Here is a 14,441-nt window from a genome sequence, read left to right as displayed (position 1 = left end):
AGATGGATCACCTGAGGTCAGGAGTTCAAGAGCAGCATGACCAACATGGTGAAACCCCATCTCTACTGAAAATACAAAAATTAGCCGGGCGTGGTGGTGTGTGCCTATAGTCCCAGATACTTCGGAGGCTGAGATAAGAGAATTGCTTGAACCTGGGAGGTGGAGGTTATGTGAGCCAAGATCACGCCACTGCACTCTAGCCTGGGCGACAGGGCGAGACTCCATCTCAAAAAAAAAAAAAAATCCAGAGTGGTTGGTAGTCAAGACAAAAAGCTAGATTATTTTTGTTAGTCTGGGAACTAAAAAAAATAGTTGTAACTTTGAAGCCTTTTTATGGATCAACATGAAGATTGAGGGATCTCAAACAGAAAGGGCATCCTGGTGGCAAAGGTTAATCATTACCAGACTGCAAGAGTAGTTTCAATGGCAAGAAAGCAGCAACAGAATCAATGAAAACAAAGCAATGATTAGAATGCCCTTTCCCCTTCTCCTCCTGACTTGTAGACACTGATTGTCTTCCTTGGACTTAGGGAACCCCTTAGGTTCTTGAAAAATTCAATGATGAGGCTATAGTAGATGGTCCCCAGGACACAGCACAAGATTTTTTGATAAACTGGACATTTTGAAACCCAAATAACTAATTAGAAAAATCAAACATGTGAAACTACTTTATCCCATGCATAGGGGTTATACTGGAAATAAAATGTACAACATTGGAATCCTGAAGGAGAAAAGTCCTAAAAGTTTCAATATCAAGAATCCTGCACCTGCTGCTACTTATCTAGCCTTTTGCTTGATTTCTGGCTGATGAACTTGCACAACTCTTGAAAACTTAAAAACTTGAAAATTTGTCACTTGAAAACTACTTGAACCAAACTATGAAATCTCACCTGATATATAAGATGCAATTGTTACAATTATTTTAAACTTCAATTTACTGTTTTGCTCTATCAAAAGAAAGTTTCAACTCTGTTAGTTGAGTACACACATCCTAAACAAGTTTCTGAGAATGCTTCTGTCTAGTTTTTATGGGAAGATATTTCCTTTTTCACCTTAGGCCTCAATGCGCTCCAAATGTGCACTTCCAGATACTACAAAAAGAGTGTTTCAAACCTGCTCTATGAAAGGGAATGTTCAACTCTGTGACTTGAATGCAAACATCACAGAGATGTTTCTGAGAATGCTTCTGTCTAGATTTTATATGAAGATATTCCCGTTTCCAACGAAATCCTCAAAGCTATCCAAATATCCACTTGCAGATTCTACAAAAAGAGTGTTTCAAAACTGCTCTATCAAAAGAAAGGTTCAACACTGTTAGTTGAGGGCTCACATCACAAATAAGTTTCTGAGAATGCTTCTGTCTAGTTTTCAGGGGAAGATATTTCCTTTTTCACCATAGGCCTGAAAGCGCTCCAAATGTCCACATCCAGATACTACAAAAAGAGTGTTTCAAACCTGCTCTATGAAAGGGAATGTTCAACTCTGTGACTTGAATGCAAACATCACAAAGAAGTTTCTGGGAATGCTGCTGTCTGCTTTTTATATGTAATCCCGTTTCCAACGAAATCCTCAAAGCTATCCAAATATCCACTTTCAGATTCCACAAAAAGAGTGTTTCAAAACTGCTCTGTAAAAAGAAAGGTTCATCTCTGTTAGTTGAATACACACATCACAAACAAGTTTCTGAGAATGCTTCTGTCTAGTTTTTATGGGAAGATATTTCCTTTTTCACCATAGGCCACAAAGCGCTCCAAATGTCCAGTTGCAGATACTACAAAAAGAGTGTTTCAAACCTGCTCTATGAAAGCGAATGTTCAACTTTGTGACTTGAATGCAAACATCACAAAGACGTTTCTGATAATGCTTCTGTCTAGATTTTATCTGAAGATATTCCCGTTTCTAACGAAAACCTCAAAGCTATCCAAATATCCACTTGCAGATTCTACAAAAAGAGTGTTTCAAAACTGCTCTATCAAAAGAAAGGTTTTACCCCTTTAGTTGAGGACACACATCAGGAGTAAGTTTCTGAGAATGCTTCTGTCTAGTTTTTATGGGAAGATATTTCCTTTTTCACCATAGGCCTCAAAGCGCTCGAAATGTCCACTTCCAGATAGTGCAGAAAGAGTGTTTCAAACGTGCTCTATAAAAGGGAATATTCAACTCTGTGACTTGAATGCAAACATCACAAACAAGATTCTGGGAATGCTGCTGTCTGCTTTTTATATGTAATCCCGTTTCCAACGAAATCCTCAAAGCTATCCAAATATCCACTTGCACATTCTACAAAAAGAGTGTTTCAAAACTGCTCTATCAAAAGAAAAGTTCAACTCTGTGAGTTGAGTACACACATCACAAAGAAGTTTCTGATAATTCTTCTGTCTAGTTTTTATGGAAGATATTTCCTTTCTCACCATAGGCCTCAAAGCGCTCCAAGTTTCCACTTCCATATACTACAAAAATTGTGTTTCCAAACTGCTCTATGAAAAGGAATGTTCAACTCAGTGAGTTGAATGCAAGCATCACAAAGAAGTTTCTGAGAATGCTTCTCTCTAGTTTCTATGTGAAGTTATTCCCGTTTCCAATGAAATACTCAAAGCTGTCCTAATATCCACTTGTAAAGTCTACAAAAACAGTTTTTCAAAACTGCCTTATCAAAGGAAAGGTTTAACTCTGTAAGTTGAGTAAACACGTCACAAAGTAGTTTCTGAGAATCCTTCTGTCCACTTTTTAGGTGAAGATATTTCGTTTTTCACCATAGGTCTCAAATCGCTCCAAATGTCCACTTGCAGATTTCACAAAAAGAGTGTTTCAAAACTGCTCTATGAGAAGGAATGTTCAACTCTGTGAGTTGAGTGCAAACATCACAAAGAAGTTTCTGAGAATGCTTCTGTCTAGATTTTATATGAAGATATCCCGTTTCCAACGAAATCCTCAAAGCTATCTAAATATCCACTTGCAGATTCTAAAAAGGAGTGTTTCAAACGTGCTGTATCAAAAGAAAGGTTAAACTCTGTGAGTTGAGTACACACATGACAAAGAAGTTTCTGAGAATGCTTCTGTCTCGTTTTTATGTGAGGATATTTCGTTTTTTACCATAGGCCTCAAAGCGCTCCAAATGTCCACTACCAGATACAAAAAAAAGAGTGTTTCAGAACTTCTGTATGAAAAGGAATGTTCAACTCTGAGAGTTGAATGCAAACATCACAAAGTGGTTTCTGAGAATGCTTCTGTCTGGTTTTTATGTGAAGATAATCCCGTTTCGAATGAAATCCTCAAAGATATCCAAATATGCACTTGCAGATTTTACAAAAAGTGTGTTTCAAAACAGCTCTATCAAAAGAAAAGTTCAACTCTGTTAATTGAGTACACACATCACAAAGAAGTTTCTGAGAGTTCTTCTGTCTAGTTTTTATGGGAAGATATTTCGTTTTTCACCATAGGCCTCAAAGCGCTTCAAGTTTCCACTTACAGATTCTACAAAAAAAGTGTTTCAAAACTACTCTATGAAAAGGAATGTTCCACTCAGTGAGTTGATTGCAAGCACCACAAGGAAGTTTCTGAGAATGCTTCTGTGTAGTTTTTATGTGAAGGGATACCCGTTTCCAACGAAGGCCTCAAAGCTGTCCAAACATCCACTTGCAAATACTACAACAAAAGTGGTTCCAATCTGCTCTATCAAAAGAAAGATTCAACTCTGTGAGTTGAATGCACACATCACAAAGAAGTTTCTGAGAATGCTTCTGTATAGTTTTTAATTGAAGATATTCCCGTTTCCAACGAAATCCTCAAAGCTATCCAAATATCCACTTGCAGATTCTACAAAAAGAGTGTTTCAAACCTGCTCTATCAAAAGAAAAATTCAACTCTGTGAGTTGAATGCACACATCACTAAGAGGTTTCAGAGAATGCTTCTGTCTAGTCTTTATGTGAAGGTATTCCCGTTTCCAGCGAAGGCCTCAGAGCGGTCCAAATATCCCCTTACGAAGTCTACTAAAAGAGTGTTTCAAAACTGCTCTATGATAAGGTATGTTCAAATCTGTGAGTTGAATACAAACATCACAAAGAAGTTTCTGAGAATGCTTCTGTCTAGTTTTTATGTGAAGTTATTTCCTTTTCTACCATTGGCCTCAAAGCGCTGCAAATGTCCACTTGCAGATTCTACAAAAAAGTATTTCAAACCTGCTCTATCAAAAGAAAGGTTCAACTCTCTGAGTTGAATGCACACTTCACAAAGAAGTTTCCGAGAATTCTTCTGTCTGGTTTTTATGTGAAAATATTTCCATTTCCACCGTAGGCCTCAGAGCGATCCAAATGTCCACTTGCAGATTATACAAAAACAGTGTCTCAAAACTGCTCTATCAAAAAGAAGGTTCAACTCTGTGAATTGAATGCACACATCACAAAGAAGTTTCTGAGAATGCTTCTGTCTAGTGTTTATGTGAAGGTATTCCCGTTTCCACCGAAGACCTCAAAACACTCCAAATATCCACTTGCAGATTCTACAAAAAGTGTGTTTCAAAACTGTTCTGTCAAGAGCAATGGTGAACTCCATGAGTTGAATGCACAAATCACAAAGAAGTTTCTGAGAATGCTTCTGTCTAGAGTTTATCTGAAGACATTCCCGTTTCCCAAGAAATCCTCAAAGCTATCCAAATATCCTCTTGCAGATTCTACAAAAAGAGTGTTTCAAAACTGTTCTGTCAAGAGCAACGGTGAACTCCATGAGTTGAATGCACAAATCACAAAGAAGTTTCTGAGAATGCTTCTGTCTAGTTTTTGTGTGATGATATTTCCTTTTCCAACATAGGCCTCAGAGCAGTCCAAGTATCCACTTGCAGATTCTACAAAAAGAGTGCTGCAAAACTGCTCTGACTAAAGGAATGTTCAACTCTTTGAGTTGAATGCACACATCACAAAGTAGTTTCTGTGAATGCTTCTATCTAGTTTCTGTATGAACATATTTCCTTTTCTACCATAGGTCTCAAAGCGCTCCAAATATCCACCTGCAGATTCTACAAAAAGAGTGTTTCAAAACTGCTCTACCAAAAGGAAGTTTCAACTCTCTGAGTTTAATGCAGACAGCACAAAGAAGTTTATCTGACTACTTCTGTGTTGTTTTTATTTAAAGATATTTCCTTTTCCAACACAGAGCGCAAAGGGCTCCAAATATCCACTTGCAGTTTCTTCAAAAGAGAGATTCTAAACTGCCCAATCAAAAGATAGGTTCATCTTTGTGAGTTGAATGCATACATCACAAAGAAGTTTCTCTGAATGGTTCTGTGTAGTTTTATTTAAAGATAATTCCTTTTCCACCATAGGGCACAAATGGCTCCAAATATCCACTTGTAGATTCTACAAAACCAGAGATTCAAAACTGCTCATTGAGAAGATAAGTTCGACTCAGTGATTTGAATGTACACATCATGAAGAAGTTTCTTAGAATGTTTCTGTGCAGTTTTTATTGAAGATATTTCCTTTTCCACCATAGGGCGCATTGGGCTCCAAATATCCTCTTGCAGATGCTAGAAAAAGAGAAACTCTAAACTGCTCAATCAACAGATAGGTTCAACTCTGTGAGTTGAATGCCCACATCACAAAGAAGTTTCTCAGAATGCTTCTGAGTAGTTTTTATGTGAAGATGTTTCCTTTTCCACAATAAGCAGCAAAGTTCTCCAAATATCCACTTGAAGATTCTACAAAAACGGTGTTTCAAAACTGCTCAATGAAAAGAAAGTTTCAACCCTGTGAGATGAATGCACACATCACAAAGAAGTTTCTCAGAATCCTTCTGTGTTGTTTTTATGTGAAGATATTTCCTTACCACTGTGGGCCTCAGTGGGCTCCAAATATCCACTTCCATATTCTACAAAAAGAGTGTTTCAAAACTGCTCAATCATGAGATAAATTCAGATAAATTCATCCCTGTGAGATGAATTCACACGTCATGAAGTAGTTTCTCAGAATGCTTCTCTGTAATTTTTATGTGAGGATATTTGCTTTTCCACAGTAGTCCTCAAAGGGCTCCAAATATCCACCTGCAGATTTTGCAAAAAGAGAGATTCAAAACTGCTGAATCAAAAGATATTTTCAACTCTGTGAGTTGAATGCACACATCGCAAATAAGTTTGTCTGAATGCTTCTTTGTAGTTTTTATTTCAAGATATTTCCTTTTGCACCATAGGGCTCAAAGGGCTCCAAATATCCACTTGCAGATTCTACAAAAAAAGAGATTCAAAACTGCTCAATGAGAAGATAAGATCAACTCTGTGAGTTGAATGCACACCTCACAAAGAAGTTTCTCAGAATACTTCTCTGTAGTTTTTATGTGAAGATATTTCCTTTTCCACAATAGTCCTCAAAGCTCTCCAAACATCCACTAACAGATTCTGCAAAAAGAGAGATTCAAAACTGCTCAATCAAAAGATAGGTTCAACTCTGTGAGTTGAATGCACACATCCCAAAGAAGTTTCTGTTGAATGCACACATCCCAAAGAAGTTTCTCAGAATGCTTCTGTGTAGTTTTTATATGAAGATATTTGCTTTTCCTCAGTATGCCTCAAAGGGCAGCAAATATCCACTTGCAGATTCTACAAATAGAGAGATTCAAAACTGCTCAATGAGAAGAAAAGTTTAACTCTGTGGGTTGAATGGACTCCTCATAAAGAAGTTTCTCAGAATGCTTCTGTGTAGTTTTTATGTGAAGATATTTGCTTTTCCATAATAGGTTTCAAAGCTCTCCAAACATCCACTTGCAGATTCTGCAAAAAGAGAGCTTCTAAACTGCTCAATCAAAATATAGGTTCAACTCTGTGAGTTGAATGCACACATCAGAAAGAAGTTTATCAGAATGCTTCTGTGTAGTTTTTATTTGAAGATATTTCCTTTTCCACCATAGGGTGCAAAGGGCTCCTAATATCCACTTGCAGATTCTACAAAAAGAGAGATTCAAAACTGCTCAATCAAAAGATAGGTTCAACTCTGTGAGTTGAATGCACACATCACAAAGCAGTTTCTCTGAGTGATTCTGTGTAGTTTTTATGTGAACATATTTGATTTTCCACAGCAGGCCTCAAAATGCTCCAAATATCCACTTGCAGATTCAGCAAAAAGAGGTATTCAAAACTGCTCAATCAAAAGATAGGTTCAACACTGTGAATTGAATGCACACATCACAAAGAAGTTTCTCAGAATGCTTCTGAGTAGTTTTTATGTGAAGATGTTTCCTTTTCCACAATAGGCGGCAAAGTTCTCCAAATATCCACTTGCAGATTCTACAAAAAAGGTGTTTCAAAACTGCGCAATGAAAAGAAAGATTCAACTCAGTGAGATGAATGCACACATCACAAAGAAGTTTCTCAGAATCCTTCTGTGTTGTTTTTATGTGAAGATATTTCCTTTGCACTATAGGCCTCAATGGGCTCCAAATATCCACTTCCATATTCTACAAAAAGAGTGTTTCAAAACTGCTCAATCATGAGATAGATTCAACCCTGTGAGATGAATGCACACGTCACTAAGTAGTTTCTCAGAATGCTTCTGTGTAATTTTTATGCGAAGATATTTGCTTTTCCACAGTAGGCCTCAAAGGGCTCCAAATATCCACCTGCAGATTTTGCAAAAAGAGAGATTCAAAACTGCTCAATCAAAAGATACGTTCAACTCTGTGAGTTGAATGCATACATCACAAAGAAGTTTGTCTGAATGCTTCTTTGTAGTTTTTATTTCAAGATATTTCCTTTTGCACCACAGGGCTCAAAGGGCTCCAAATATCCACTTGCAGATTCTACAAAAGGAGAGATTCAAAACACTGCTCAATGAGAAGATAAGATCAACTCTGTGAGTTGAATGCATACCTCACAAAGAAGTTTCTCAGAATGCTTCTCTGTAGTTTTTATGTGAAGATATTTCCTTTTCCACAATAGGCCTCCAATCTCTCCAAACATCCACATACAGGTTCTGCAAAAAGAGAGATTCAAAACTGCTCAATCAAAAGATAGGTTCAACTCTGTGACTTGAATGCACACATCGCAAAGAAGCTTCTCAGAATCTTTCTGTGTAGTTTTTATGTGAACATATTTGATTTTCCACAGTAAGCCTCAAAAGGCTCCAAATATCCACCTGCAGATTCTGCAAAAAGAGGGATTCAAAACTGCTCAATCAAAAGATAGGATCAACTCTGAGTTGAATGTATACATCACAAAGAAGTTTCTCTGAATGGTTCTGTGTAGTTTTATTTGCAGATATTTCCTTTTCCACAATAGGGTGAAAGGGCTCCAAACATCCACTTCCAGATTCTACAAAACAGAGATTGAAAACTACTCAATGAGAAGATAAGTTCAACTCAGTCAGTTGAATGCACACATCATGAAGAAGTTTCTTAGAATGCTTCTGTGTAGTTTTTATTGAAGATATTTCCTTTTCAACCATAGGGTGCAAAGGGCTCCAAATATCCACTTGCAGATTCTACAAAAAGAGTGTTTCAAAACTGCTCAATCAAAAGAAAGGTTCAACTCTGTGAGTTGAATGCCCATATCAGAAAGAAGTTTCTCAGAGTGCTTCTGAGTAGATTTTATGTGAAGATATTTCCTTTTCCACAATAGGCCTCAAAGGGCTCCAAATATCCACTTGCCTCAAAGGGCTCCAAATATCCACTTGCAGATTCCACGAAGAGAGTGTTTCAAAACTGCTCAATCAAAAGAAAGTTTCAACACTGTGAGATGAATGCAAACATCAAAAAGAAGTATCTCAGAATGGTTCTATGTAGTTTTTATGTGAAGATATTTCCTTTTCCACAATAGGCCTCAAAGGGCTCCAAATATCAACTTACAGTTTCTACAAAAAGAGTGTTTCAAATCTGCTCAATCAAAAGAAAGTTTCAACTCTGCTCAATCAAAAGAAAGTTTCAACTCTGTGAGTTGAATGCACACATCGCAAAAAAGTTTCTCAGAAAGCTTTTGTGTAGCTTTTATCTGAAGTTATTTGCTTTTCCACAGTAGGCCTCAAAGCGCTCCAAATATCCACTTGCAGATTCTGCAAAAGAGAGATTAAAAACTGCTCAATAATAAGATAGTTTCAACTCTGTGAGTTGAATGCATACATCACAAAGAAATTTCTATGAATGCTTCTGTGTAGTTTTTATTTGAAGATATTTCCTTTTCCACCATGGGGCTCAAAGAGCTCCAAATATCTACCTGCAGATTTTATAAAAAGAGAGATTCAAAACTGCTCAATGAGAAAATAAGTTAAACTCTGTGGGTTGAGTGCACACCTCACAGAGAAGTTTCTCAGAATGCTTCTGTGTAGTTTTTATGTGAAGATATTTCCTTTTCCACAATATTCCTCAAAGGGCTCCAAATATCCAGTTGCAGATTCTACAAAAAGAGTGTTTCAAAACTGCTCAATCAAAGGAAAGTTTCAACTCTGTGAGACGAATGCACACATCACCTGTGAGACGAATGCACACATCACTAAGAAGTTTCTCAGAATGCTTCTGTTTAGTTTTTGTTTGTAGGTATATGCTTTTCCACGGTAGGCCTCAATTCCCTCTAAATATCCACTTGCAGATTCTACAAAAACAGTGTTTCAAAACTGCTCAATCAAAATAAATGTTGAACACTGTGAGATTAATCCACACATCACAAAGAAGTTTCTCAGAATGTTTCTGTGTAGTTTTTATGTGAAGATATTCCCTTTTCCACAATAGGCCTCCAAGCTCTCCAAACATCCACATACAGGTTCTGCAAAAAGAGAGATTCAAAACTGCTCAATCAAAAGATAGGTTCAAACCTGTGAGATGAATGCACACATCACAAAGCAGTTTCTCTGAGTGATTCTGTGTAGTTTTTATTTGAAGATATTTCCTTTTCCACCATAGGGCGCAAAGGGCTCCAAATATCCACTTGAAGATTCTACCAAAAGATAAATTCAAAACTGCTCAATGAGAAGATAAGTTCAACTCTGTGAGTTGAATGCACACCTCACAAAGTAGTTTCTCACAATGCTTCTGCATAGTTTTTATGTGAAGATATTTGCTTTTCCACTGTAGGCCTCAAAGGGCTCAAAATATCCACCTTCAGATTGTGCAAACAGAGAGATTCAAAACTGCTCAATCAAAAGATAGGTTCAACTCTGTGAGTTGAATGCACATATCATGAAGAAGTTTCTCTGAATGCTTCTGTGTAGTTTTTATTTCAAGATATTTCCTTTTCCACCATAGGGCACAAAGGTCTTCAAATATCCACTTGCAGATTCTACAAAAAGAGAGATTGAAAACTCCTCAAAGAGAAGATAATTTCAACTCTGTGAGTTGAATGCACACCTCACAAAGTAGTTTCTCAGAATGCTTCTGTGTAGTTTTTATGTGAAGATATTTCCTTTTCCACAATAGGCCTCAAAGCTTTCCAAACATACACTTGTAGTTTCTGCAAAAAGAGAGATTCAAAACTGCTCAATCAAAACGTAGTTTCAACTCTGTGAGTTGAATGCAAACATCACAATGGTGTTTCTCAGAATGCTTCTGAGTAGTTTTTATGTGAAGAAATTTCCTTTTCCACAATAGGCCTCAAAGGGCTCCAAATATCCACTTGCAGATTCCACGAAGAGAGTGTTTAAAAACTGCTCAATCAAAAGAAAGTTTCAACTCTGTGAGATGAATGAACACATCACAAAGGAGTTTCTCAGATTGCTTCCTTCTAGATTTTATGTGAAGATATTTCCTTTTCTATCATAGGCCACAAAGCGCTCCAAATGTCCACTTGCCGATTCTACAAAAAGGGTGTTTCCAAACTACACAATCAAAAGAAAGGTTCAACTCTGTTAGATGAACGTACACATCATAAAAAAGATTCTCAGAATTCTTCTTTTTGTGTGTGAAGATATTTCCTTTTCCAACTTAAGCCTCAAGGTGCTTGAAATGTCCCCTTGCAGATTCTCCAAAAAGAGTATTTGAAAACTGGTTCTCCTAAAGAAAGTTGGAACTCCAGGAGATGAATGCAGACATCACAGAGAACTTTCTCAGAATGCTTCTATCTACTTTTTATGTGAAGATATTTCCTTTTCCACCATAGGCCTCAAAGCGCTGCCAAATGTCCACTTGCAGATTCTACAAAAAGAGAGTTTCCAATCTGCTCAATCAAAAGAAAGGTTTAACTCTGTGAGATTAATGCACGCATCACAAAAGTTTCTCAGATTGCTTCTGTCTAGATTTTATGTGAAGATATTTCCTTTTCTACCATTGGCCGCAAAGAGTTCCAAATGTCCACTTGCAGATTCTACAAAAAGAGTGTTTCCAAACTACTCAATCAAAAGAAACGTTCAACTCTGTGAGATGAACACACTCATCACAAAGAAGTTTCTCAGAATTCTTCTGTCTAATTTTTATGTGAAGATATTTCCTGTTCCACCATAGGCCTCAAGATGCTCTAAATGTCCGCTTGCAGATTCTACAAAAAGAGAGTTTCAAAACTGCTCAATCAAAAGAAAGGGTTATCTCTGTGAGATGAATGCATATATCACAAACAAGTTTCTCATATTGCTTCTGTCTAGATTATATGTGAAGATATTTACTTTTCTACCATAGACTGCAAAGCGCTCCAAATGTCCACTTGCAGACTCTACAAGAAAGAGTGGTACCAAACTGCTCAATCGAAAGAACAGTTCCACTCTGTGAGAAGAACGCACACATCACAAAGAAGTTTGTCAGAATTCTTCTTTCTAGTTTTTATGTGAAGATATTTCCTTTTCCACCATAGGCCTCAAGCGTTCCAAATGTCCACTTGCAGATTCTACAAAAAGAGAGTTTCAAAACTGCTGAATCAAAAGAAAGTTTAAACTCTGTGAGATGAATGCACCCATCACTAAGAAGTTTCTCCGATTTCTTCTCTCTAGATTTTATGTGAAGGTATTACTTTTTCTACCATAGGTCGCAAAGTGCTTCAAATGTCCATTTGCAGATTCTACAAAAAAGAGTGTTTCCAAACTGCTCAATCAAAAGAAAGGTTCAAGTCTGTGAGATGAACGCACACATTCCCAAGAAGTTTGTCAGAATTCTTCTGTCTAGTTTTTATGTGAAGATATTACCTTTTCCACCATAGGCCTCAAAGCTCTCCAAATGTCCACTTGCAGATTCTACAAAAAGAGAGTTTCAAAACCGCTCAATCCAAAGAAAGGTTTAACTCTGTGAGATGAATGCACACATCACAAAGAAGTTTCTCAGATTGTTTCTTTCTAGATTTTATGTGAAGATATTTCTGTTTCAACCATAGGCCGCAAAGCGTTGCAAATGTCCACTTGCAGATTCTACAAAAAGAGTGTTTCCAAACTGCTCAATCAAAAGAAAATTTCAGCTTTGTGAGATGAACACACACATCACAAAGAAGATTATCAGAATTCTTCCATCTAGTTTTTATGTGAAGATATTTCCTTTTCCACCATAGGCCTCTAAGTGCTCCAAATGTCCACTTTGAGATTCTACAAAAAGAGTGTTTCCAAACTGCTCAATCAAAAGAAAGGTTTAACTCTGTGAGATGAATGCACACATCACAAAGAAGTTTCTCAGATGGCTTCTGTCTAGATTTTATGTGAAGATATTTCCTTTTCTACCATACGCCACAAAGTTCTCCAAATGTCCACTTGCATATTCTACAGAAAGAGTGTCTCCGAACTGTTCAATCAAAAGATAGGTTCAAATCTGTGAGATGAATGCACACGTCCCAAAGAAGTTTCTCAGAATTCTTCTGTCTAGTTTTTATGTGCAGATATTTCCTTTTCCACTGTTGGCCTCAAAGAGTTCCAAATATCCATTTGCAGATTCTACAAAAAGAGAGCTTCAAGACTGCTCAATCAAAAGAAAAGTTTAACTCCATGAGATGAATGCACACATCACAAAGAAGTTTCTCAGATTTCTTCTGTCTAGACTTTATGTGAAGATATTTCCTTTTCTACTACAGGCCGCAAAGCACTCCAAATGTGCACTTGCAGATTCTACAAAAGAGTGTTTCCAACCTGCTGTATCAAAAGAAAGTTTCAACTATGGGAGATGAAAGCACGCATCACAAAGAAGTTTTTCAAAATTCTTCTGTCTAGTTTTTATGTGAAGAGATTTCCTTTTCTACCACAGGCCTAAAAGGGCTCCAAATGTCCACTTGCAGATACTACAAAAAGAGAGTTTCAAAACTGCTCAATAAAAAGAAAGGTTTAACTCTGTGAGATGAATGCACACATCACAAAGAAGTTTGTCAGATTGCTTCTGTCTAGATTTTATGTGAAGATATTTCCTTTTCTACCATAGGCCGCAAAGCGCTAAAATTGTCCACTTGTAGATTCTACAAAAAGAGTGTTTCCAAACAGCCCAATGAAAGGAAACTTTCAACTCTGTGTGATGAACGCACGCATCACAAAGTGATTTCACAGTATTCTTCTGTCTAGTTTTTATGTGAAGATATTTCCTTTTCCACCACAGTTCTCAAAGAGCTTCAAATGTCCACTTGCAGATTAGATTGTTCAAAAAGTGTGTTTCCAAACTGCTCGATCAAAAAAAGCTTAACTCTGTGAGATGAACGCACACGTCACATAGATATTTCTCAGATTTCTTCTGTCTAGTTTTTATGTGAATGTATTTCATTTTCCACGGTAGGCCTCAAGGGGCTTGAAATGTCCACTTGCAGATTCCACAAAAAGAGTAATAAATAACTGGCCCATCAAAAGAAAGGTTCAAATCTGGGAGATGAATGCACATATCACAAAGTAGTTTCTCATATTGATTCTATCTAATTTTTATGTGAATATATTTCCTTTTCCACCATAGGTCTCAAACCGCTCCAAATGTTCACTTGCAGAATCTACAAAAAGAGAGTTTCAAAACTGCTCAATCAAAAGAAAGGTTTAACTCTGTGACATGAATGCACACATCACAAAGAAGTTTCTCAGATTACTTCTGTCTAGATTTTATATGGAGATATTTCCTTTTCAACCATAGGCTGCAAAACACACCAAATGTTCACTTGCAGATTCTGCAAAAAGAGTGTTTCCAGACTGCTCAATCGTAAGGAAAGTTCAAATGAGATGAAAACACACTTACACACTTCAAAAAGAAGTTTCTCAGAATTCTTCAGTCTAGATTTTATATGAAGATATTTCCATTTCCACCATAGGCTTCAAAGCGCTCCAAAAGTCCACTTGCAGATTTTACAAAAAGAGAGTTTCAAAACTACTCCATGAAAAGAAAAGTTCAACTCTCTGAAATTAATGCACATATCACAATGAAGTTTCTCTGATTGCTTCTGTTAGATTTTATGTGAAGATATTTCCTTTTCCACCATAGGCCTCAAAGCACTCCAAATGTCCACTTGCAGATTCTACAAAAAGAGTGTTTCCAAACTGCTCAATCAAAGGAAAGGTTCAACTCTCTCAGATGAACGCATTCATCAAAAAGAAGTTTCTCA

The 14,441-nt window shown here is 37.0% G+C and overlaps 1 pseudogene across 1 annotated transcript in view; it reads right to left on the bottom strand.

Annotated features, from left to right (window-relative positions):
* Window positions 1-14,441, bottom strand: part of LOC102724580 (methylenetetrahydrofolate dehydrogenase (NADP+ dependent) 1 like pseudogene) — a 78,514-nt pseudogene that overhangs the window by 16,556 nt on the left and 47,517 nt on the right. The window lies entirely within an intron of this gene.

Source organism: Homo sapiens, chromosome 9 (genome assembly GCF_000001405.40).
Source record: "Homo sapiens chromosome 9, GRCh38.p14 Primary Assembly".
NCBI classification, from domain to species: Eukaryota; Metazoa; Chordata; class Mammalia; order Primates; family Hominidae; genus Homo; species Homo sapiens.
This window is presented reverse-complemented; position numbering and strand designations above follow the sequence as displayed.